The 24,306-nt window shown below is 39.1% G+C and overlaps 1 protein-coding gene and 1 long non-coding RNA gene across 3 annotated transcripts in view; one reads left to right on the forward strand and one right to left on the reverse strand.

Moving 5' to 3' along the window:
- LOC102723512 (uncharacterized) overlaps nt 1–24,306 on the forward strand; it is a 40,652-nt gene that overhangs the window by 5,675 nt on the left and 10,671 nt on the right. Inside the window, exon 2 of one of the 2 annotated variants that reach the window (XR_007095788.1) lies at nt 16,201–16,259. This is a non-coding gene — a long non-coding RNA (uncharacterized LOC102723512). Of the gene's footprint in view, nt 1–16,200; nt 16,260–17,122; nt 18,333–24,306 lie in introns of those variants that run through there. The other variant, XR_007095787.1, reaches the window with a different exon arrangement.
- The window catches only part of SUMF1 (sulfatase modifying factor 1), a 432,784-nt gene continuing 431,170 nt past the window's right edge, over nt 22,693–24,306 (reverse strand). Inside the window, exon 10 of the mRNA XM_017006254.3 lies at nt 22,693–22,953. Within this exon, the coding sequence (XP_016861743.1) occupies nt 22,936–22,953 (18 nt within the window). The 3' untranslated portion in view covers nt 22,693–22,935. The remainder of the gene's footprint in view (nt 22,954–24,306) is intronic.

A 24,306-nucleotide genomic window follows, 5' to 3' on the forward strand; every position in this document is an offset into this window, starting at 1 on the left:
TTAAAAGGAAAAGATTTTTGAAGAAGTATAATTTCCATTTCCTTTTTCCACCCACATATGTGCAGGCACACTGATATAAAAAGGGACTTTAAAAAATTTGTGGAATCTTAAGCAAAAAGAACAAAGTCAGAGGTGTCACATTACCCAACTTCAAACTGTACCATAAGGCTACAATAACCAAAATGGCATGGTACTGGTACAAAAACAGACACATAGACCAATGGAACAGATAAGATAACCCAGAAATAATACTGCACACCTACAGCCATCTAATCTTCGACAAAGGCAACAAAAATAAGCAATAGGGAAAGGACCCCCTATTCAATAAAAGGTGTTGGAATAAATGGCTAGCCATATGCAGAAGAATGAAACTGGACCCCTACCTTTCACCATATGTAAAAATTAACTCAAGATGGATTAAAGATTTAAGTGTAAGACCTAAAGATTTAAATAAAAGAATCCTAGAGGAAAACCTAGGAAATACAATTTTGGACATCAGCTTTGGGAAAGAATTTGACTAAGTCCTCAAAGCAATTGTAATAAAAATGAAAATTAACAAGTGGGACCTAATTAAACTAAAGGGCTTCTACACAGCAAAAGAAACTATCAACAGAGTAAATAGACAACCTACAGAATGGGAGAAAATATTCCCATAATATGTATCTGACAAAGATCTAATATCCAGACTCTACAAGGAACTTAATTCAACAAGCAAAAAAATAATAATAATAACATCATTAAAAAGTGGGAAAAGGACATGAACAGACACATCTCAAAAGAAGACATACAAGTGGCCAACAAACATATGAAAAAACGCTCAACATCACTAATTATCAGAGAAATGCAAACCGAAACCACAAAGAGGCACCATCTTACACCAGTCAGAATGGCTATTATTAAAAAATCATAAAACAACAGATGCTGGTGAGGCTGTGGAGAAAAGAGAATGCTTATACATTGTTGGTGGGAATATAAATTACTTCAGCCAATGTGAAAAGCAGTTTGGAGGTTTATCAGAGACCTTAGAACAGAACTTAAAATTTAAAACATTCAAACCAGCAATCCAATTACTGGCTACATATCCAAAAGAAAATAAATTGTTCTACCAAAAAGACACATGCATTTATATGTTCATCACAGCCCTAGTCACAATAGTAAAGACATGGACTCAACCTAGGTTCCCATCAACAGTGGATCAGATAAAGCAATGGTCCCCAACCTTTTTGACACCAGGGACTGGTTTTGCAGAAGACAATTTTTCCCCATATGGAGGTGGGGAGGGGAGGTGGGGAAATGGTTTCAGGATGAAACTGTTTTACCTCAGATCATCAGGCATTAGATTCTCATAAGGAACATGCAGCCTAGGTCCTTCTCACGTGCAGTTCACAATAGGGTTTGCACTACTATGAGAATCTAATGCCATGGCTGATCTGACAGGAGGCAGAGCTCAGGTGGTAATGCTCACCTGCCCACCACTCACCTCATGCTGTGCGGCCCAGTTCCTAACAGCCCATGGACTGGTACCAGTCTGGGGCCCAGGGGCTGGGGACCCCTTGGGTACAGAAAATGTAGTATATATATGCCATGAAATACTACACAGCCATAGCAAAGAATGAAATCATGTCCTTTGTAGCAACATGGATGCAGCTGGAGGCCATTATCCTAAGTGAATTAACAGAGGAACATAAAACCAAATACTGCATGTTCTCACTTACAAGTGGGAGCTAAACATTGGGTACTCATGGACATAAAAATGGCAACAATAGAAACTGGGAACTACTACATGGGGAAAGGAGGAAAGTGAGGAAAGGGGCAAAAAATTATGGGGTGCTATGGTCACTACCTGGGTGATGGGATCATTCAGACCTCAAACCTCAGCATCACATAGTAAACCCACGTAACAAATCTAAAACCATTTTTCTGGAAAAATGGAATTAAAAGATAAAAATAAAAAATATAAACTTTATTTCTCTATACCATCACCATCAAATTCATGACATTTTTTTAAGTGATGATACTAGCCATTTAGCCATCCCTAAAGGACTGAGGGTCCTGGTAAGTTAACCATGTCTATACAGTCTTTCTACTTGTTAATAAAATAAAATGAGTGTCTTTTAAAGGTTTCTTAAGATTAGAAAACAAAAAGAAGTCAGAAGAAGTCAAATCAGGACGGTAAGGTGGATACCTAATGAGTTCCCATCAAAACTCCTGCAAAATTGCCCTAGTTTGTTGAGAAGCATGAGCAGGAGCATTGTTGTGGTGGAGAAGGTCTCTCTGGTGATGTTTTCCAAGGTGGTGGTGTGCTAAAGCTTTGGCTAACTTTCTCAAAACACTCCTAAGAAGAAGATGTTATCATTCTTTGGTCCTCCAGAAAGTCAACAAGCAAAATGCCTTGAACATCCAAAGAAACTACTGCCATGACCTATGCTCTTGACAGTTCTGCTTTTCCTTTGACTGGACCATTTCTATCCCTTTGTAGCCATTGTTTCGAATGTGCTTTATCTTCAGCATTGTATCAGTAAAACCATGTTCCATTTTCTGTTACAATTCTTCAAATAAATGCTCCAGGATCTTGATCACACTTGTTTAAAATTTCCATTGAAAGCTCTGCTCTTGTCTGCAGCTGAGCTGAGCACAAAAGTTTGGCACCCATCCAGTAGAAAGCTTGTTCAACTTTAATTTTTCAAACAGAATGTGGTTGGAACCACTATCTATGGTGTATACTATTGTTTGTGTTGTTAATCCTTGGTCCTCTTCAATGAGGGCATGAACAAGATGAATTTTTTTCTTCCAAGTTGATAGGGATGGCCTGCCACTGCAGGCTTCATCCTCAAAATCATCTTGTCTCTTCTTAAAACAAATCATCCATTTGTGAACTGCTGATTTCTTTGGGGCACCATCCCTATAACCTTTTGGTAAAGCATCAATGATTTCACCCAAGCATCATTATAAATTTGATGTTCATATTGCTCTGATAGGGCTCTTTTCAAACTGATGTCTTATCCTTCTTATTATCTCAAAGTAGTTTCTGTTCAGACATGTTATAATTAGTACAAATTTATTTTGATGCAAAAAAAAATTTTAATCTATGCATAGTTTTTTCATAACACACATTTTCTATGAACTTGTGAAGAGCCCTCATACACCTCTCACTTACTTTGTATAATTTACTTTCAAGCTGCAACCACACTCAAGGTGTGGGTCACAGCTATCCTGGCCACGTGCAAGGAACAAAACAAAAAACGACTTTAAGATGGAAGATATATTAAAAATTAGGGCTGACTTAGAAGTGTAGAGCAGCTGTGTTTAATAAAAAATCATGAAACTAGGAAATAAAAGACCTAGGTTCAAGTTCTACCTCTGCTACTCAGTTGTGGTAGGACCTTGGTCAAGCTATTTAAGATTTCTAAGCCTAGTTTCCATATGTATAATTTAAGAACCATTCACTCATTCTCATGGTTTTTATGGTATAGAGGGAGAGTTAAGTATTAAATAATCATACAACAAATGAATGAGGATTTGAAGACAACTAATATGGTCCTTTCAGAGAATAGAACAAAAGTACCTGACCTCCTTCGTAGCAGGTGATGCTTCAACTTGGATTTGACAGATGAGTGGTCATTAATTCACTGAAAGGAGGAAGGAGTTAAGAGGAAGTATATTCTAGGAGAAGGTACCACCATGTTCAAAGGCTCCGTAGTGGCAGGAAGCATAGCTGGTTTGACGAAATGAAAAGAAGGCCAGCAAAAATGGCCATTGAAAAGTTTAAAATATGGGAGTGAATGTTACAGGGTAGCTGTGAGATGATATGAAACAGGGCACAGAACATTTCTTTAAGTATGAAAGCACAAAATATATTAGGTGTTGATAGGATAAAAGTATACAAATCATCTAAAAGAACTCTTCCCCAACACAAAGGCACTGTCAAAACATTAGCTGGTGTTGTTCAGTGACTAGGGTACTCTGCTAATAAAGGCAGGAATGGAATAAAACATCACCACAGTGACTTTTTTCAAGTTGAAAATCTTGCAGCAGAAAGAACAAAAGATACAGGTTCACCACGCATAAAAGAACCTGACTGTAGGGCAAACAAATGACAGAATTTGTCAGAAATCTCCACTGCAGAGCCACCAATGAATACCAACCTAGTTTGACACAGTACAGGTGAAATGCCAGAAGAGAAGCCCCCAGGTTGTGATCAAATGCAGCTGCTTGGAAACAATTCAAAATGCAAACAACAGACTTCCTGAACTCCTGGGTCAAGTTTCAACCACAGAAATTATAAGCTGACTTTGTCACAACAAAAATTTGTCCCACAAAATGGATATTTTCTTTCGAGCTTGCATGAAACTCAAAAAAAAAGGTATCAATAGAATGGATAGGTCATTTGTCTCTCAAGAACACTGCTGGGGAAATTACTTATAAGACTTATAAATGAGGGTGATATAATGTCAGCTCTGATAAGGATATTAATTAAAAGAAAATTGACTGTTGACATTTCTGCAAGTTCAGACTATCAGATCAAACACAAACCCAAAGGAAGGGAGAAGGTCAAGGTGATATTCTATAAGCCAGAAAGTAGATTAAAAGTTTCTGGACAAGCTAAGATATATGAAATTGCAGACCTGTGGGCTTTTATGCTTATAGAAAATCTAAACTAGAACCATCTACAACTTAAATTGGAAAGGAATTTGTAGAAACAATGTACTAGATAGCAATCAGCATGATAATACAGAGCACATCAATGTAAATTTCCTTTTTTGACAAAGTGAAAGACCACATAAACAAAGGAGAAAAGGGGTATATAATCTATTATAACCTTAGCAATCTTTTCAATTCTGCCATGCAATACATAGTACCATATAAGATAAAAATCTAGATTTTTATAGTAATGAGATGACTGGAAAGTTATATGCAAAAAGTGGTTAACTAAACAACAGGATAATGTATACTACAATTTTAAATATATACAAAGCTATTTAAAAACTAATTGAATACTAATCAAAGCTTTGGAAAGAGAAACTAGAAGCAATTTGAAAAACCAGAAAGAAAAAGATGGATATACTATGTCACCTATACATGAACACATTTCTGAATATCAAAAGCATAACCCCAAATAGAGATAAATTATAGATTGGGGAAAACATTGCCAAATAATATGGTAGACATCAGATTACTATCTTAAATATACAACAAGGTCACTAAGATACCAATGAGAACAGGGGTAAAGAATGATAAAGACGACAGAATTAAGGCCTGTTTTTTATTTGTTTGTTTATACTTTAAGTTCTAGGGTACATGTGTACAACGTGTAGGTTTGTTACATATGTATACATGTGCCATGTTGGTGTGCTGCACCCATTAACTCGTCATTTACATTAGGTATATCTCCTAATGCTATCCCTCCCCCCTCCCCCCACCCCACGACAGGCCCCCGTGTGTGATGTTCCCCTTCCTTTATCCAAGTGTTCTCATTGTTCAATTCCCACCTATGAGGGAGAACATGTGGTGTTTGGTTTTTTGTCCTTGCAATAGTTTGCTGAGAATGATGGTTTCCAGCTTTATCCATGTCCCTACAAAGGACACAAATTCATCCTTTTTTATGGCTGCATAGTATTCCATGGTGTATATGTGCCACATTTTCTTAATCCAGTCTATCACTGATGGACATTTGGGTTGGTTCCAAGTGCACTTCATGTCTAAAACACCAAAAGCAATGGCAACAAAAGCCAAACTTGACAAATGGGATCTAATTAAACTAAAGAGCTGCTTCCTCACAGCAAAAGAAACTACCATCAGAGTAAACAGGCAACCTACAGAATGAGAGAAAATTTTTGCAATCTACTCTTCTGACAAAGGGCTAATATCCAGAATCTACAAAGAACTTAAAAAAATTTACAAGAAAAAAACAACCCCATCAAAAAGTGGGCAAAGGATATGAACAGACACTTCTCAAAAGAAGACATTTATGCAGCCAACAGACACATGAAAAAATGCTCGTCATCACTGGCCATCAGAGAAATGCAAATCAAAACCACAAAGAGATACCATCTCACACCAGTTAGAATGGAGATCATTAAAAAGTCAGGAAACAACAGGTGCTGGAGAGGATGTGGAGAAATAGGAACACTTTTACACTGTTGGTGGGACTGTAAACTAGTTCAACCATTGTGGAAGACAGTGTGGTGATTCCTCAATGATCTTGAACTAGAAATACCATTTGACCCAGCCATCCCATACCCAAAAGATTATAAATCATGCTGCTATAAAGACACATGCACACGTATGTTTATTGCGGCACTATTCACAATAGCAAAGACTTGGAAAGCCTGGTTTCTAATGAGGTTTTGTTTAGGGTCATTGCTTTGATTCCTCTGTGTATTTGTTATCTATTGTCATATAAAAAATACCTGAAAACTAAGTAGCTTAAAACATTAAACATTTATTATCTTACAGCTTAGCAGCTTAGTTGGCTGGGGCAGCAGTCATCTGAAGGCTTGACTGGGGGTGGATGATCAGTTTCCATATGGTTCACACACATGGTTATGGGCAGGAGGCTTCAGTCTCACCACATAAACCTCCCCGTAGGCTGCCAGAACATCCTCACAACATGGAAGCTGATTTCCCCAGAATGAATGATCCAAGAAAGAGCAAGAGAAAGTCACACTATATTTTGTGACCTGGCCTCAGCAGTCACACACTGCCATTTCCACAATATCCTACTGATTACACAAATCAGCCCCATCCAGTGTGGGAGAGGACTAAACTAGGGCTTGAATGTCATAAGACTAGCTACTGATTAATAATAGAAAATATAAATCTTTCTTTTTTCACTAAATATTTATTGAATATCTACAATGTGCCATCGGGAGTTCTACCCTGGTAAAAACCAATTCAAAATGGTAAACCTCACAGTCACAGAAACCTCAAGTAATAATATCATATTTCAACACTGAGCAACAGTGAGATCTAAGAACTGCGCATTCAGGTTGCAGTCTCAACTCTTCATCCCTGAAACATCTATGGATCATTATGCCAATGGGAAGTTCATAACTTTATTTAATGGCCAGAAAACTGTTCATCTACATCGCAATACCTCAGCCCAACATCAGATCTTTCCCAAGCATGTCAACACAAATTTCCAAACAGAGATTGCAGCTCTCTAGCTAGGACCAACACAAGAATCATCAACCAATGTTTGAAAGACTCAGATGTGAAGCCTGTAGACATTTTCTAGATTGTTCCAAATTCATTTTATGTGCAAAAGATGATATTTCTAGCCCGCCACCCCTAGAGTGTGCATTTCACTTTGTCTACTACCCAATCAACACATATTTGATGGAATGCCTGTTAGATTTTAGGCAGTAGACTAGTTGTTGGGAAACATATTTTGTCTTCATGGGAGAAATAGACAGTGAAGCAAAAATAAATAAATAAACAAACTGAATAATATGGCTCATGATAAATGCCATAAAGCCAATAAGCAGAGGACTTGATAGCGAATGCTAAGAGAAGGGTAGCAGAAGTGGCCTGGGATGATTTTCTGAGATAATACTATATGCCGAGACCTTGGGGAGCTAGTCATTTTTAAAAGGCCAGAAAAAAGCACTCCAGGTCCAGCATTTCAGACTGATAAGTGCCAAGGTATAAAAATGCTTGGTAAGAGCTTGGATCTGTTGGATGACAGTTTGGCTGAAACAGGAAGCAAGGAGAGCATCCCTCAAACTGAGGTAATAGCAATAAGAGGCAGAAGACAAACTTTTCAGGGACTTAAGAGCTGTGATAAAGAGTTTGGGGTTTATGCTGAGTGTGATAGGGAACCAGCAAATGTTTTTCATTGGGCAAGTGGCAAGGTCAGATGTAAATTTGTAGTTTGTGGCATAGTCCATGAGACCTGTGGTTTGTGTGACAGCTGCCAGAGAGCACCAAGGGCAGTCAGGGCAAAGGAACCAAGCGGCTGATTTTGCCCATAGAAAGATAAGACCCTTGGCCTTATCTTCATTTGAACAGTGCCATTTTTATTGGGGACTGAAATAAATGCATCTGTTGCTACTGATGGTTAGTTTGTCCTCATTTGCTGAAAGGGAAAGGTCTCTTCATGACTCATCCACAAATCCTGCTGATCCTCCTAATTAAAAAGTTTTCAAACAAGTTGATACATTACTTATTAAGAGCCCAGACACACCAGGCATAAATCCTTCCTGCCATCCATATGTATGCCAGGACTTCACTGCTGTATCTTTCATCATTATGAGGGATATCCTTCAATATAATTTTCATGACACCATCTGCCATGTTCTTCTCTCAACTTTTTTTGGTGGGGTGACAACTCAGTGATTATGAATGTCATATCTGGCATCTTTTAAAAATAAAACTCTATCAGAGATCTCAAGGGGGAAAACAAGTAATAAAAACATATCCGGCCAGGAGCAGTGGCTCACGCCTGTAATCCCAGCACTTTGGCAGGTCAAGGCAGGCAGATCACCTGAGGTCGGGAGTTCAAGGCCAGCCTGGCCAACACCGTGAAACCCTGTCTCTACTAAAAATACAAAAAAATTAGCCGGGCATGGTGGCAGGCTCCTGTAATCCCAGCTACTTGGGAAGCTGAGGCAGGAGAACTGCTTGAACCCTGGAGGCAGAGGTTGCAGTGAGCTGAGATTGTGTGACTGCACTCCAGCCTGGGCGACAGAGTGAGACTCCGTCTCACAAAACAAACAAACAAATATCCACTGGCAAGTGCTATGGACCACAGACCTAGGAATGCATTGCAGGTTAGCCTTTTTTACACCAAAAACAATGCAACTAAGAATGAAGGTAAACTGAATTTGTAGCCTTCTTAGTTTTCAGCAAATTAATTCTTGCATTCTTTTAAAACATTGCACGTTTTCATCAGTATAATTGGTTATGTGTTGCAAACTATTAAAGGTGGAAAGAGCAATTCTTAAAATTAAACTCTCTCTCCATTCACCTTCACCTTATGTATCCAAGACCTTTAAAGTTCCACCTCCTCTGAGATGACTTCTCTAATGAATCCAACCACATGGTTTATTCACATTATGTGACATTATATGTGGCCTCTGGCATGAAACCATTAGCAAATAAGCATGGATCTAATTTGTTTTTTTATATATCTCCACCCAAAATAAATAAATAAATAAACAGAGACAAGGACTTAGGTGCAAGGAGTTTATTTTGGAGATACCCCCAGGAAGCAGCAGTTAGGGAATGGGGAGATTGAAACAAAGAGGTAGGAAGAAACCATAAGAGGTGCTGTTAACCACCATGGGCAAGTGGTGCTCGATGCAGCTGGGGACTAATTCTTGAGTGACAGGTAGGATGTACCTAAGAATTTCCTTCTAAGGGACAGGAGGTTAAGGAATCTATCATATTTTCTAGTGGTTGAAGTTTGCCTCTGGAGCATCAATTTTCCAAAGTTCTGTGCTACCCAAAAGGCAGATCAAGCCAGCTCCTGGGCCTTTGGAAAAAGTCTTGAGGCAGAAGTGCAGAGGGGTGGGAGGTGCTTAAAGTGGGATGACGTCATTTTGCATGGGAACTGTCCAGCACAGCTATAGTGGAAATTAGTGGTGGATCAAGAGATTGTAGCAGAGGGCACAAAAAGTGTCTATTTCAGCATAAAAACTGTGTTGTTAATTAAAAATAAAATTTTGTTTAAAATGATGTTTTTAACAATATCACTGAAGATATAAACACTCATTTCTCTTAGTGTCATAGAGAGACTGACTGATCAGCTGACTCAGTCTGAGAATGCCCAAGTATTAAATGAGCACTTGTCGAACACTAGTTGAGCAGTATGAAGCAATGCACAAGTTAAAGTCAAGATGCCCAACTCTCAAGGAGCTTGCAATCTTACAGGGATTATCAACATTCACAAACAAACTAACACATAACTGGTAGTTCTGACTACAAAGGCAGAAAAAGTGAGAGACAGCATCATGTAGCGGTTAAAAGCTTCCACTCTGGAGTCAGAGAGACCTAGGTTTAAAATTAATCTAGGATTTGCAGTGTGATCTTGGACAAGGGTCTTAATCTCTCTGTGTCACAATTTCTTCATCTGATGGTTAGAAAAATAACTATCTGCTTCATGGAGTTGTCTGAAAAGTAAATGCAAGTAAAGCACTAATCACAGCACCCGGCACATAAATATTCATTAAATGTCAGTTGTTTTGTGAAAATTAAAGAGAAACGTAACAGTAGAATGGGATTTAAAGAAGAGAAGTATCTCCTTGTCAGACTCTTTCTCTTTCTTAAATATGAATTTTCTATAGCCTCTGGCCCCTGTTCTAGTACCATTTTCCCTTTTTTAAAAGTTTCATTTTCTAAAAAAGAACTACTTATATTAAGATTGGGAGGCCAGTATTAAAAGATGTGGAAATATAGCACAAAATGCACGAGCTTTGGAGCAATACTAGCCAATTTTAAATCCATGTATCTTGCCACTGAATGACCTTGGGTAAATCTCTTAAGCACACTGCCACTCAGTTTTCTCATCTACAAAATGGGAGCAATATAACCTGTCACTGTGAAGAGTAAAGGAATGTCTCTGGAGGATTTCCAACACATTTTAGATCCTCAAAAGTATTGATTGCTATTACTCACTATTCATTCAGTAGACACTTACTAGGCACCTACTATGTATAAAGCACTGTACTAGGTTCTACAGAATAACAAGACAGACATAAATAAGATATGGGTCCAACAGTCAAAAGTGTTACAGGTTAAACTTATTAATACATAAAAAAATCTAGATGTTTGAAATGACTCAAATTAATAAGTTACCTGAATATCAAATGTTACTATCCTAATTTCAAAGACAGGAAAGGAGACAGGGAGGAAGAGAGAGGGGGAGGGAGGTGGGGAAGGAGGAAACTAAGCTGGTTATCTCTGAGACAGAGTTTGCAGAAATACAAGATGATGAGATCTGTTTAAATTCACATCTGCTATAGGATACTCAGAAGTCTACAATGTGAACTGAACTCAGAGAAGATTTCTCCCATGAGGCTAAGAATGTATAAGGCCAACTCTACCAACCCTGAACCTGCAACATATAACAATGCTGCTCTATCCCAAACTTCTAATCCAGGTGAAACCAGGATGAAATGACTGTCATTGACACCCTGGAAGGGAAATGAGTTTGAGTAGAGATGAGAAAAATTAATATGGTGATGATGGGATCATTCTACTGGCTGGAATGCATGTAAGGCCTCATCTCTTTCCTAAGTCACTGTCTTACCAAACCAGAATGGGGGGATTCCAAAAAGAGCAGGATCTAAGCTAGCACCCCAAGTTTATTAAACTCAAGAATGGCTCTCAAGATGAGCATGGTCTTCACAAGTATATACTTCTCCTTGGTTCAACAAGTATCCCTTCCTCACACTTGCAGAATACTTTATAGTTCACAAAGCACTTTAATGACATTTAATGTCCATCATCTCACTTAACTCTCAGGACAGCCCTTTGTGTTTAGTTTCCATTTTGTAGACGAACAAACTGAAACTTGGGAAGCTTAAGCAACCGGTTTGAGGTCCCATACCAAGATGCAGAGGAGCCTGGACTGAAACTCAAGTCCTCTGGTTCCATTTCCAGGGCATTTTCCACACTTGTGTACAGCCTCTGAGAAAAGGGAAGGTTGCATCAATGAAATTGGAAGGCAGTAATTGGAAGCCATTTTCCTCTGACTTAGAGACCTGAGGCATCTCTGTCAAATAAAAATTCCCAACTAAAAAACTGGTGGTAAGCCGGGCATAGTGGCACAAGCCTGTAGTCCCAGCCACTCAGGAAGCTGAGGGAGGAGGATCACTTGAGACCAGGAGTTCAAGGCCAGCCTAGGCAACCTAGCGAGACGTCATTTCTAAACAAACAAACACACACACACACACACACACACACACACACACGCACGCACGCACATGAAAAAATTGGTGTCTCTGAATCTGTGCTATCCCTCCAGATCCTCAGATGTGAAATCCTTAAATCCTTTATGAACATGGAGCCTACTCCATGAAGAGCACCATTAGATTCAAGATAGTAAAATTCATTCGAAACTAATTGGTGAGTAATGAAGTTGCTAAAGTTTATGAGCCTTGCACCAACACTAATACAGAGGTACAGTGTCAACAATAAAATTGTAATCACTGACAAAACTAGCCTTCATGCAGAAAAGGGAAGCCTTTTCCTTTTCCCTTGGCCTGTAGACAATAGCATTAGACAATTTTTGGAGTGACAAGATCACTTCCTCCTGCCTAGTTTTAAAGAGTGACCACAAGGAACAGCTTCGCCCTTAGAAATAACTTTTGATTATTTGATAATGGAAAGGAAAAAAAGTGTACAACTCTCCTCTAGTTAAATTTCAAGCATTTAGAGAAGTGGATATGTCTATATCACAACATATCCTGAAAAACAGCCATGGCCATACACAAGAGAATAATACAGTGCCCCTTTGTACTCCTGTCTACACAGGCAGTTGTCTGCTACCAAAGAGGGGTTCCAGAAGAAAATGTTATTTGGGGCAGAAAAGACTGGCCTCCCGCCCCCCAACAGATCTATAAGAATATGTTAACCTCCTGTGCAACTCCCAGAGAGCTGAATGGATAAATACACTGAGTACTCAGTAAAATCTACCTCAAAACAATTATTCTGGTTTTTGCTTAGTTAGTATTTGTTCTTCCTAATTGTATTAAGAGAACCAGTTGTTTCCAGAGGTCAGTCCTGGAGAATGCCAGCAAGCCCTGGGATCTTTATTGGCTGGGATCTTCATGTTGGCTCTGATGCTACACTGACCAACGAAGTTACCACAGGTCTCACACAGCTATTGAGCACTGAAATAGGGCCAGTCCAAGTGGCATGGACTGTGTGCAGACAAAGTGACTCCATATTAAATGTTAATAGCTATGTTGACTTATTAACCTCAGTCCCAGGAATGCTTTCTGATTCCCACTCTATTTACTGTCCTCAATGTGAGAACATGTACTTGCTATAAATCCCGCCTTTACATCAAAGCAACCTTGATGTTATTGCACAAATTATAGGCTATGACGCACATAGCATTCTTGCCTTTTCTGGAGGGCTGCCTTTAATTGGCTATAGAGCACATATGCCCTTTCTCTGTGGTATATAAGCTCTTGGTCTGAGGAGTAATGGTGTGGAGATCTACCTGTCTTGCTGCCACCCAAGACCATGAGGCAAGTTCCCCAGTAAATCACCCTTTACTAGCAAACTGGATTTGTCTGCCTCATTCTTTGGTTTCTCAGCTCCTTCTGTGCTTGGTGGTCACTTTGCATATGTGGTCTTTTCACAGAACAGACTATACATGTCAAATACACATCAGATTTTGAAGATTTAGAATAAAAATAATAACATTGGTAATTTCTATATTGATTCCATGTAAAAATGGTAGTAGTTTGGAGGGATTGTTTTAGTAAAATAGATTACAAAATATATATATATATATATATATATATATATATATATATATATATATATTTTTTTTTTTTTTTTTTATTATACTCTAAGTTTTAGGGTACATGTGCACATTGTGCAGGTTAGTTACATATGTATACATGTGCCATGCTGGTGCGCTGCACCCACTAATGTGTCATCTAGCATTAGGTATATCTCCCAATGCTATCCCTCCCCCCTCCCCCGACCCCACCACAGTCCCCAGAGTGTGATATTCCCCTTCCTGTGTCCATGTGATCTCATTGTTCAATTCCCACCTATGAGTGAGAATATGCGGTGTTTGGTTTTTTGTTCTTGCGATAGTTTACTGAGAATGATGGTTTCCAATTTCATCCATGTCCCTACAAAGGACATGAACTCATCATTTTTTATGGCTGCATAGTATTCCATGGTGTATATGTGCCACATTTTCTTAATCCAGTCTATCATTGTTGGACATTTGGGTTGGTTCCAAGTCTTTGCTATTGTGAATAGTGCCACAATAAACATACGTGTGCATGTGTCTTTATAGCAGCATGATTTATACTCATTTGGGTATATACCCAGTAATGGGATGGCTGGGTCAAATGGTATTTCTAGTTCTAGATCCCTGAGGAATCACCACACTGTCTTCCACAATGGTTGAACTAGTTTACACTCCCACCAACAGTGTAAAAGTGTTCCTATTTCTCCGCATCCTCTCCAGCACCTGTTGTTTCCTGACTTTTTAATGATTGCCATTCTAACTGGTGTGAGATGATATCTCATAGTGGTTTTGATTTGCATTTCTCTGATGGCCAGTGATGATGAGCATTTCTTCATGTGTTTTTTGGCTGCATAAATGTCTTCTTTTGAGAAGTGTCTGTTCATGTCCTTCGCCCACTTTTTGATGGGGTTGTTTGTTTTTTTCTTGTAAATTTGTTTGAGTTCATTGTAGATTCTGGATATTAGCCCTTTGTCAGATGAGTAGGTTGCAAAAATTTTCTCCCATGTTGTAGGTTGCCTGTTCACTCTGATGGTAGTTTCTTTTGCTGTGCAGAAGCTCTTTAGTTTAATTAGATCCCATTTGTCAATTTTGTCTTTTGTTGCCATTGCTTTTGGTGTTTTGGACATGAAGTCCTTGCCCACGCCTATGTCCTTCTGAAACTATTCCAATCAATAGAAAAAGAGGGAATCCTCCCTAACTCATTTTATGAGGCCAGCATCATTCTGATACCAAAGCCGGGCAGAGACACAACCAAAAAAGAGAATTTTAGACCAATATCCTTGATGAACATTGATGCAAAAATCCTCAATAAAATACTGGCAAACCGAATCCAGCAGCACATCAAAAGGCTTATCCACCATGATCAAGTGGGCTTCATCCCTGGGATGCAAGGCTGGTTCAATATACGCAAATCAATAAATGTAATCCAGCATATAAACAGAGCCAAAGACAAAAACCACATGATTATCTCAATAGATGCAGAAAAAGCCTTTGACAAAATTCAACAACCCTTCATGCTAAAAACTCTCAATAAATTAGGTATTGATGGGACGTATTTCAAAATAATAAGAGCTATCTATGACAAACCCACAGCCAATATCATACTGAATGGGCAAAAACTGGAAGCATTCCCTTTGAAAACCGGCACAAGACAGGGATGCCCTCTCTCACCGCTCCTATTCAACATAGTGTTGGAAGTTCTGGCCAGGGCAATCAGGCAGGAGAAGGAAATAAAGGGTATTCAATTAGGAAAAGAGGAAGTCAAATTGTCCCTGTTTGCAGACGACATGATTGTTTATCTAGAAAACCCCATCGTCTCAGCCCAAAATCTCCTTAAGCTGATAAGCAACTTCAGCAAAGTCTCAGGATACAAAATCAATGTACAAAAATCACAAGCATTCTTATACACCAACAACAGACAAACAGAGAGCCAAATCATGGGTGAACTCCCATTCACAATTGCTTCAAAGAGAATAAAATACCTAGGAATCCAACTTACAAGGGATGTGAAGGACCTCTTCAAGGAGAACTACAAACCACTGCTCAAGGAAATAAAAGAGGACACAAACAAATGGAAGAACATTCCATGCTCATGGGTAGGAAGAATCAATATCGTGAAAATGGCCATACTGCCCAAGGTAATTTACAGATTCAATGCCATCCCCATCAAGCTACCAATGACTTTCTTCACAGAATTGGAAAAAACTACTTTAAAGTTCATATGGAACCAAAAAAGAGCCCGCATTGCCAAGTCAATCCTAAGCCAAAAGAACAAAGCTGGAGGCATCACACTACCTGACTTCAAACTATACTACAAGGCTACAGTAACCAAAACAGCATGGTACTGGTACCAAAACAGAGATATAGATCAATGGAACAGAACAGAGCCCTCAGAAATAATGCCGCATATCTACAACTATCTGATCTTTGACAAACCTGAGAAAAACAAGCAATGGGGAAAGGATTCCCTATTTAATAAATGGTGCTGGGAAAACTGGCTAGCCATATGTAGAAAGCTGAAACTGGATCCCTTCCTTACACCTTATACAAAAATCAATTCAAGATGGATTAAAGATTTAAACGTTAAACCTAAAACCATAAAAACCCTAGAAGAAAACCTAGGCATTACCATTCAGGACAAAATATATATTTTTAAAAATAATTTCACCTGTTTCTTTTCACCCTAAATAATATATGTACTAGAAAATTTAAAATTACAAATGTAGTTCACATGTTTGAATTACATTATATTTTTATAGGGCTCTAATGCTCTGGAGGACACATCCTTATTCTCCAAGATCTCTATCAAGTCATTTAGGTAAGTTTAATAGAAGAGGTATAAATGCCATGTTTTAATGACCCTGAATTTGGGTAAGTTAGAAAGTGCTTACTTGCTGTCCAAGGTTCTTTGAAAGTAGAAAGATGCAAAACAGTGTGCTTGTTTGCCTGGTTGTTTTGGGCAGTTTGATCTCTCATTGTCTCTGGTAGGAACAGTGTCTGTTTAACTGATCTGTAGGGATTCAGCATTGTGTGATGGGGCATGTGGGTGTTTAACTGTAACACTTGAGAAGAATGCTTACAGCTCAGCTGTTAGAATCTCGTGCTAAGGAATCTAAGGTTAAGGGTTGAATCCCCAGCCAGACACACTTAGCTCAGCTTTTTTTGTGGACCAGGCATGCACTCCCCACCTGGGCTTGCTTTCTTGCAAATGTCCATTCTTGGTTACAATAGGGGCCAGTGAAATAATGGTGCTGTACACTTATCAAATCCATCAACACCACTCCAAAAAGCAGCTCAGCTTCATCCTTCAGGGGAACAGCATCACCTGTACCACCTTTTCATATAAAGGAAAGCATATTATTTTCCTGTGTTAAAAAAGAAGGTTTTTTTTAAAGCGATACCTGTTACAAGTTTCAAAAGCCAAGCAAAGGTAAAAACATAAAAAGTATTGTGTTTGCTCCCTCATTTGCTTCCAGAAAAACCATTCTTAAGCTATAAAGGTCCAGATTTGGGTAAGCTAAATCCTGCCCATCTAGGAGATTTAGAAGATCATAGAGAAACATATTTATGCTTCTTATTTTTCATAAACTTACTATTAAGAAACTCAGTATATTAGATTCTTGCATGACTTGTATCCCTCAAATTTCCAAGAGGAATTGGCCAGCAGTGCTGTGTAACAGAAGCCAGAGTCCAGAGATTCAGGCCACAGGCTGACTCTGCACCAATGGCTATGTGGAATGGGACAGTTCATCTCCGTCTCTGGTTCTGTGTGTCCCCCTCTGTAAAAGCAGAGTTTGTACTTACATTTAGTCTAATTCTATAGTTTCAAAGCACCCTAGTTGACCACCTTGAAAGGCCAAATCAAACATTCATGTTTCTCAAGTCTACTTTTTTTGTTGGTTTGTTTCTCTTCAAGAGCAATAGAGGTGATGCCTCAGAATTTGGCCGACCTTCATTTTAAACAGCTGTGCCAGGCAGCTTTGGAATGGGCTCCTGTCTCCAGTGGCTTTTGCACCTGCAATCTGGCTGGCTCGAGCTTTCTGTTTCCCGCCTGCCCCGGCAGCAGGCTAGGAGTAAGAGCAGTTGCCTATGACGTTCTCTGAACCTCCTGCTCCAGGCGACTGAGCCAGGAGATACCTAAGGGGCTTGTCAACACCTAATGCTGTCTCTCCTTCTCCTTGGCTCCAAACACTGTTCTGGGTATTGCCTCGCTGGGCCTGGCTAAAGCTCTGTCTTCTGAAGTGAAGGTTGACCTTTTATTAAATACTAACCCTACAAGAAAAGTAGAATAAACTAGTCCCATTGTAACTTGCCAAGATTAATACATCCATAGAATTGGGGCAGGAGATAACACCGAATGTGTACTACAGACTAGATATTGTTAAGTAGTATATTTCTAATTTAATCTTTAATCTTTATAATAAGCCTATGTAATAGATAGGCACTATGATTATTGCCAATTTACAGATGTGGAAACTGTGGGTTAGAGAAATAAGGTAACTTTCCCATAGACTTATAGCTATTAAGTGACAGAGGTAGGATTTAGAGATAGGTAGATCCACTTGAGTCCAGAGCTTATAGAGGTACCTACCTTACCAACAGGACGGCTTTTTGGAATTCATTTCGATAAAAAAAAAATCAAGTTGGATATGACGGACTTGATCATTTCTTCTGCCTGAGATGCCTAACACATCTAAAAGAGCTGTACGTTAGTTCATGTTATTGAAAAGCAGCCACCAAGACAGGCTAGATGTCACTATTTCTGAGCCTCCTTCTACTCCTCTTGTTTTTTTCCTTTTTTAGGAGGGAAAGACTGGCGGAAAGAGAAATACACAAACCTCAGAAGGGAGCAGACAATTCACACATTTCTACAGTTTAACCTTCAGTGCCAGTAAGTGTCAGGTAGTAGAGCTTCAGGTATGCCCCAAAAGTCTCCTTGCAAGGAACTGAGAAACCTGGAACATTTCTGCGTTTATGCTTATCCACCTATTTCTATCCTCTAAATTCATTTGATATCTGCTCTTCCTTTCAAAGGTAATTCAGATCACACCATAGCACCACGGACCATAAATCATTCTGAACAGAACTCTGTTTCTGGGGCACATCAATGTTCATTCAAGGGATCGTGCTTTAGAAACTAACCACCAATATGTATTTCAGTAATCTACTCCAATACTTATAATGTGACACAAAGAACAATCTTCAGCCTTCACCACTTCCTCAACACCACATTTTGCTCAGCTTTCCAGAACTGCCTTTGGAATCTCATCTTATAGGAGGGAGCTTATATGCACCAGAAAAGATAATGAGCAATCCTGTTTACCAGAAACTCATCTAGGAAAACAGCTAAGGAAAGAGGATGAAGCTTATTAATAAGCCCCAATTCTCAGCTTTGACTGCGTTAGATATATCAAGTTCACTGGAACCTTACTAGGTATCCTAGTCTCAGCCACTGTATTTCTCAGGTCTGGGACATATCTCTGAGCCTTTCCCCTATGCTGATGTTGGTTTATCAGGTAGTGCCTGCCAACAGCCTATGGCTCATGCTAAAAATAATTGAGAGTTGCTCAATTATTTCTAGAGAGGCAGCTGGTGTAGTGGAAAGAACACTGACTGATAATAACAGCTATTGTTTACTCACTTCATGCAAGACATTTTACAAGCATTATCTCCATTCTGCTGATAACCTAAGGAAATAGGTATGATTGCCCCCATTTTTTACCTGAGTCAGTTAAAGATTAGAGAATATCCATGATTTACCCAAGGCCTCAAGTTTATTGTCCAACAGATCCATGATGTGAATTGAACTCTCTCTCTGATTCCATATAATTCTGATGTATCATTACTGCCTCCAAATAGAAGGCAGAAAACTTGGTCAGAGTCCTAGAATTGCCACCTGGGTGGCCTATAACAAACCTTAATTTCACTCTGGATCTTAATTAGCTCAGCTACAGAATGGAAATAATGCTATTGAGTCTTAGGTGAGGATGCAGTCCTAAGAGTCAAATAGCCTGGGTTAAAACCTAGTCCCAAGCTTACCAGATGCATGACCTTGAAGAAGTAAATTAGCTTTACTTTTAACATGGAAATAATAGCAACAACTACCCCAATAGATATTGAGTAGATTAAACAAATTAAAACATGCCAAATGTATTAGTCAGGGTTCTCTAGAGGGACAGAGCTAATGGAATATATATATGTATGTATGTATGTATATATATATACACATACATACATATATATACATACATATATATACACATACATATATATATACACATACATATATATATATAGAGGGAGAGGAGTATGTGTGTGTGTGTGTGTGTGTGTGTGTATATAATATATATATAATATATATATATAAAATATATATAATATATGAATATACCTTGCATTTATATATGAAAAAAACAGAATGTATTAGCCTGTTTTCACTCTACTGATAAAGACATACCCAAGACTGGGTAATTTATAAAGAAAAAGAGGTTTCATGGACTCACAGTTCCACATGTCTGGGAGGCCTCACAATCATGGCACAAGAGCAAGGAAGAACAAACGGACATCTTACATAGAGGCCAGCAAAGAGAGAATGAAAGCCAAGCGAAAAGCGTTTCCCCCTATAAAACCATCAGACCTCGTGAGTCTTATTCACTACCACAAGACCAGTGTGGGGGAACTCACCCCCCATGATTCAATTACCTCCCACCAGGTCCCTCCCACAACATGTGGGGATTATGGGAGCTACAATTCAAGATGAGATTTGGGTAGGGACACAGAGAAACCAAATCACAGAGCCACCAGGTGATAGTCTGCAAACTCCTTGTTTTAAAATTATTTTCTCCTTTGCCTGGCCTAGAGGTATGGAGGCTCTATTATCATAGCATCCAGATGGACATAGGAGAGCAGCCTGAATGCCAAGATGTCTGGTATCAGATAGCTCAGTTAAAGGCAAAGTATGGAAATTACTAAGAGCAGGAAAAAAAAGATACAAATATTTTCATCTGATAAGAGAAGATTACAGTGATCACAGAGTGTAGTGGTTTGGCATCAGGCTGCCAAGAGTGAAATTCCAACAAGTTTGCTTATCAGTGTCTCAGTTTCCTTGTCTGTAAGCTCCGCCTGTTAATAGTGTCTACCTACAGGGTCACTAAGTAAGGTATTTATCACAGGGTAAGTATTAAATAGGTAATAGATGTAACCCTATGAGGTATTCTATATATCTGCTGAGGTAAATTCTTGTTCCTAATAATGTTTCCTCCAACTTCCTGTGAGTTTCGGCGGTGAGAAAGTTAGAATGGAAAAGGTCTGAAATTGAGAGAAAGTTGCGAAATGAGCAATAAGATGGTGTTCGTGCCCTACGTCAAAAAGACTTGGTCAGAAACATACATCTTTGAGACAGACTTGAGAGCTCTTGTTTGGCTCTCTGACCTTCTGTGGGAAATTAAATCTCCCAAGTTGTTAAATCCAAGCCAGTCTTTTTCTCCTTTTCAGTTTTCCAAGGTCATAAACACAGAAAAGGGATTCCTGGCCCTGGTACTAGAGCTCATCTTATAAGCCCAATGTAGTATAGTTCTAAACTAAGCATATTCTATAAGCAAAGTCCCTAGATTTGTTTCCTGGCTTCACCACTTACCATCAATTGGACCCTCGGCAAGTTATTTAACCTCACTAGGCCTCTCTTTTATCATCTGTAAAATGGGAACAATGAAATAGAGACACTGAGAAAATTCAGTGAGACAATGAATATGTGATAGGCAGAACAATGTCCCCGTCCCCCAAAAAAGTCTACGTCCTAATTCCCAGAACCTGTAAACACGTCATATTACATAGCAAAAGGGATGCTGAAAGTGAAATTAAGGTTTCAGATCTTTAAATAGGGAGATTGTCCTGGATTATCCGGGTAGACACAATCTAACCACATGGGCTCTTAAAAGTGGAAGAAGCAGCAGAAAAGTCAGAGAAGTGGCCAGAGAGTTCCAAAGCATGAGAGGGATTCAACCCACACTTGTTGGCTCTGAGGACTGAGGAAGGTGGCCACAGGTAAGTGGGTGGCCTCTAGAAGCTAGAAACAGTACTCAGTTGACAGTCAGCAAGGAAACAGGGACTTCAGACCTGTAACAGCAAATAACTGAATTCTGCCAACAACTTGAATTAGCAGGAGTCAGATTCTACCCTAGAGCCTCCAGAAAGGAATACAGTCCTCGTAACACCTGGATTTAATCCAACAAGACCTGTGTTGGACTTCTGACCTACTGAACTATGAGGTAGATTTTTGTTGTGTCAAGCTCTAAGGCTGTGGTAATTTGTTATGGCAGCAAAGGAATTGTGGTACGGAATGTCAAGTACTTAGAATGTCCCCAGCACACAGAGTAAAATCTCATTCAAATCCAGCAATTTGATGATGGCAATGCTGATGAGGAAGAGGGGAATGACAATGAATTTTTAGGTTACATCTGAAATTATGACTATTAAGCCTGCCTATAAACACAATATTAAGATTTTTAGGTCCTCTTGTGGATCCAATATCCTATTAAATGTTTTCTATTTAGTAAATTACTTTATCTAAGCCTCAAAACTATTCTATGAAATAGGTACAATTACACCTATTTTCATGAGGAATTGGAGCTCAGAAAAGTTCATTTATCTTATGCTGAGTTTCGCTCTGAGTGATTTTGGGTTATGCAGAAGCTATCAAGGACATAAGACAATCCTAGTGGAGGGAAAAGTTCATAATGTCCCCAAAGACAAAAATACAGCACAATGAGTTATTCCTTCAATGAGCATACTTAGGCAACACTTTCTTTCCATCAATGCCTAAAGCGATGGTTGGAGCCCTTTGAAATCAAGTTAAATGGGGAGAGGTGCACAGAAGCACTAGAACTTGCCATTGTTTAAGAGACAGAAAAGAATTGTGCTGTCTGAGCAAGACAATCCTAGCCATGTGCCTGCTGAGAGCCCAGAGCATGTGAGCTTTAACTAAGGAAACCAACTCCAAATCCTCAGCAGCTACGGAAGTATGAAATGGATTTCAGGTGGACTGAGACAGAGTTTAGAAATGGGACCAAATGTGCAGTCTCTTTTGACCAAAGTTTAAAGGATGATTTGCTTCTTCTTTTCCCAAGCAGAATGCAATTTTAGATCACTCATTACATCCCAAGAGAAATTCATAAAAGTATTACTCAACAGGTGAATACCACAGGAGTTTCTAGTTCAAATTTTAGACCACTCCAAGTATGGTCAGGCAACCACTGCCTCAAAATTACTTGTGTTGCCTGAAAGAAATATAGCTTCCTGTCCCTCTCCCAAAAGCAAAGAAATTGCAGAAGCCCAGAATCTGCATTTGGTGATTCTCTCGCAAATTCAAGTTTGAGAAACCCTTTGTAGAGACTTACATGGGTATCCAGAGGTAAGTCAGGAGGCATCAGCAAATATTCCGTGGCAGGCTCCATGAGAAGTACTGAGATAAAAATTCTTGCCCTGGCTCCAAGATTTCACAGGCAATTGATGAACTACAATACAGGACAGACAGACATAAGTAATACATAGAGGTAGGTATAAGTAGACTGCTCTGGGCACACAGAAATAGAGCAATCAATTCTAGCCAGGGCTCTCCCTCCAGGATTTTAGGAAAAGGTATCAGTCAGACTAAACTTGACAATGAGATCAGCAGATTACGGTGTAAGATTGGGGAATAGTAAGTTGGTTCCACAAGCAGAAGGAAGGTCCAGACCAAGGTCAGCAAAGGCACAAAAGCATGTCCAGGCCTATGCTATGGTGGAAGAGAGGTCCTCAAAGACTGTGAGTAAAGACGTCAGAAAATCAGTCCAGCTGGAGGACAACAAAGGCACTGATGGCCATAATAAAGTGGGGGACATTTTGAGTTTTTAAAGCAATGGTATGAGTTAGTCTATGGTTTCAAAATGAAATAGGCTATGCATTATTTTCCTGTCACTCCCATAAGAAATTATCACAAAATGAATGGCTTAAAACAACAAGAGTGTACTGTCTCACAGATCTGGAGGCTGGAAGTCTGAAATCAAGTGTTGGTAGGGCTAGATTCCACCTAAAAGCTAGAGTGAAGAATCCTTTGCCACTTCCATCTACTGGTAGCTCCAGGCCATCATTGGCTTGTGGCTCTATCACTTCTACCTCTGCCTCTGCGTTCATGTGAGTTTCTCATCTTCTCCCTGTTATCATCCTCTTTTGTCTCTTATGAGAGCATCTGTGATTGGATTAAGATCCCAACCAGATCATTCAAAATGATCTCATATTTAGCTGCTTAATTTAATTACACCTGAATAAAACCTTTTTTCCAAATAAAAGCATATTCACAGAAGATTAGGACAAGGATATATTTTAGAGAGGCCACAACTCAACCTTCTATAGGCTTCCATTAGGCTGTATGATAGATAGACAGAGACCAGTTTTTGAAGACAGACCTACCCTGGTTTGTAAAATCAATTCTGCTACTTATTGGGCATAGAACAAATGTGCCCAATGGTGATAATAAATATTTTGTAGGGTTGTTGTGAGGATTCGAATAATGTCTATACCTTTCTAAGATAGTAGGTGTCTGGTGCATAATGCGGTCTCAATAAACTGTAGTAATATTAGTGACATGAAGTACTTGTGCTTTGTGAGATATGTTAGAGACACTGCAGTTTAGGGGGTGAGTGGACAGGGTTGAGAAATGAATGCTTTGGGTGCAGTTCTTAGCCTATGTGACCAATGGCCTATGTGACCTGAGGAAAATGACTTTGTCTGCTGGAGTTTTTTTAATCTGATATTTGTGAAAGGAAATTTGTAATATTTACTACATCAGGAGATTGCTATTAGTGTTTAAAAAAATAATGAATGTATTT

Source organism: Homo sapiens, chromosome 3, assembly GCF_000001405.40.
Source record: "Homo sapiens chromosome 3, GRCh38.p14 Primary Assembly".
NCBI classification, from domain to species: Eukaryota; Metazoa; Chordata; class Mammalia; order Primates; family Hominidae; genus Homo; species Homo sapiens.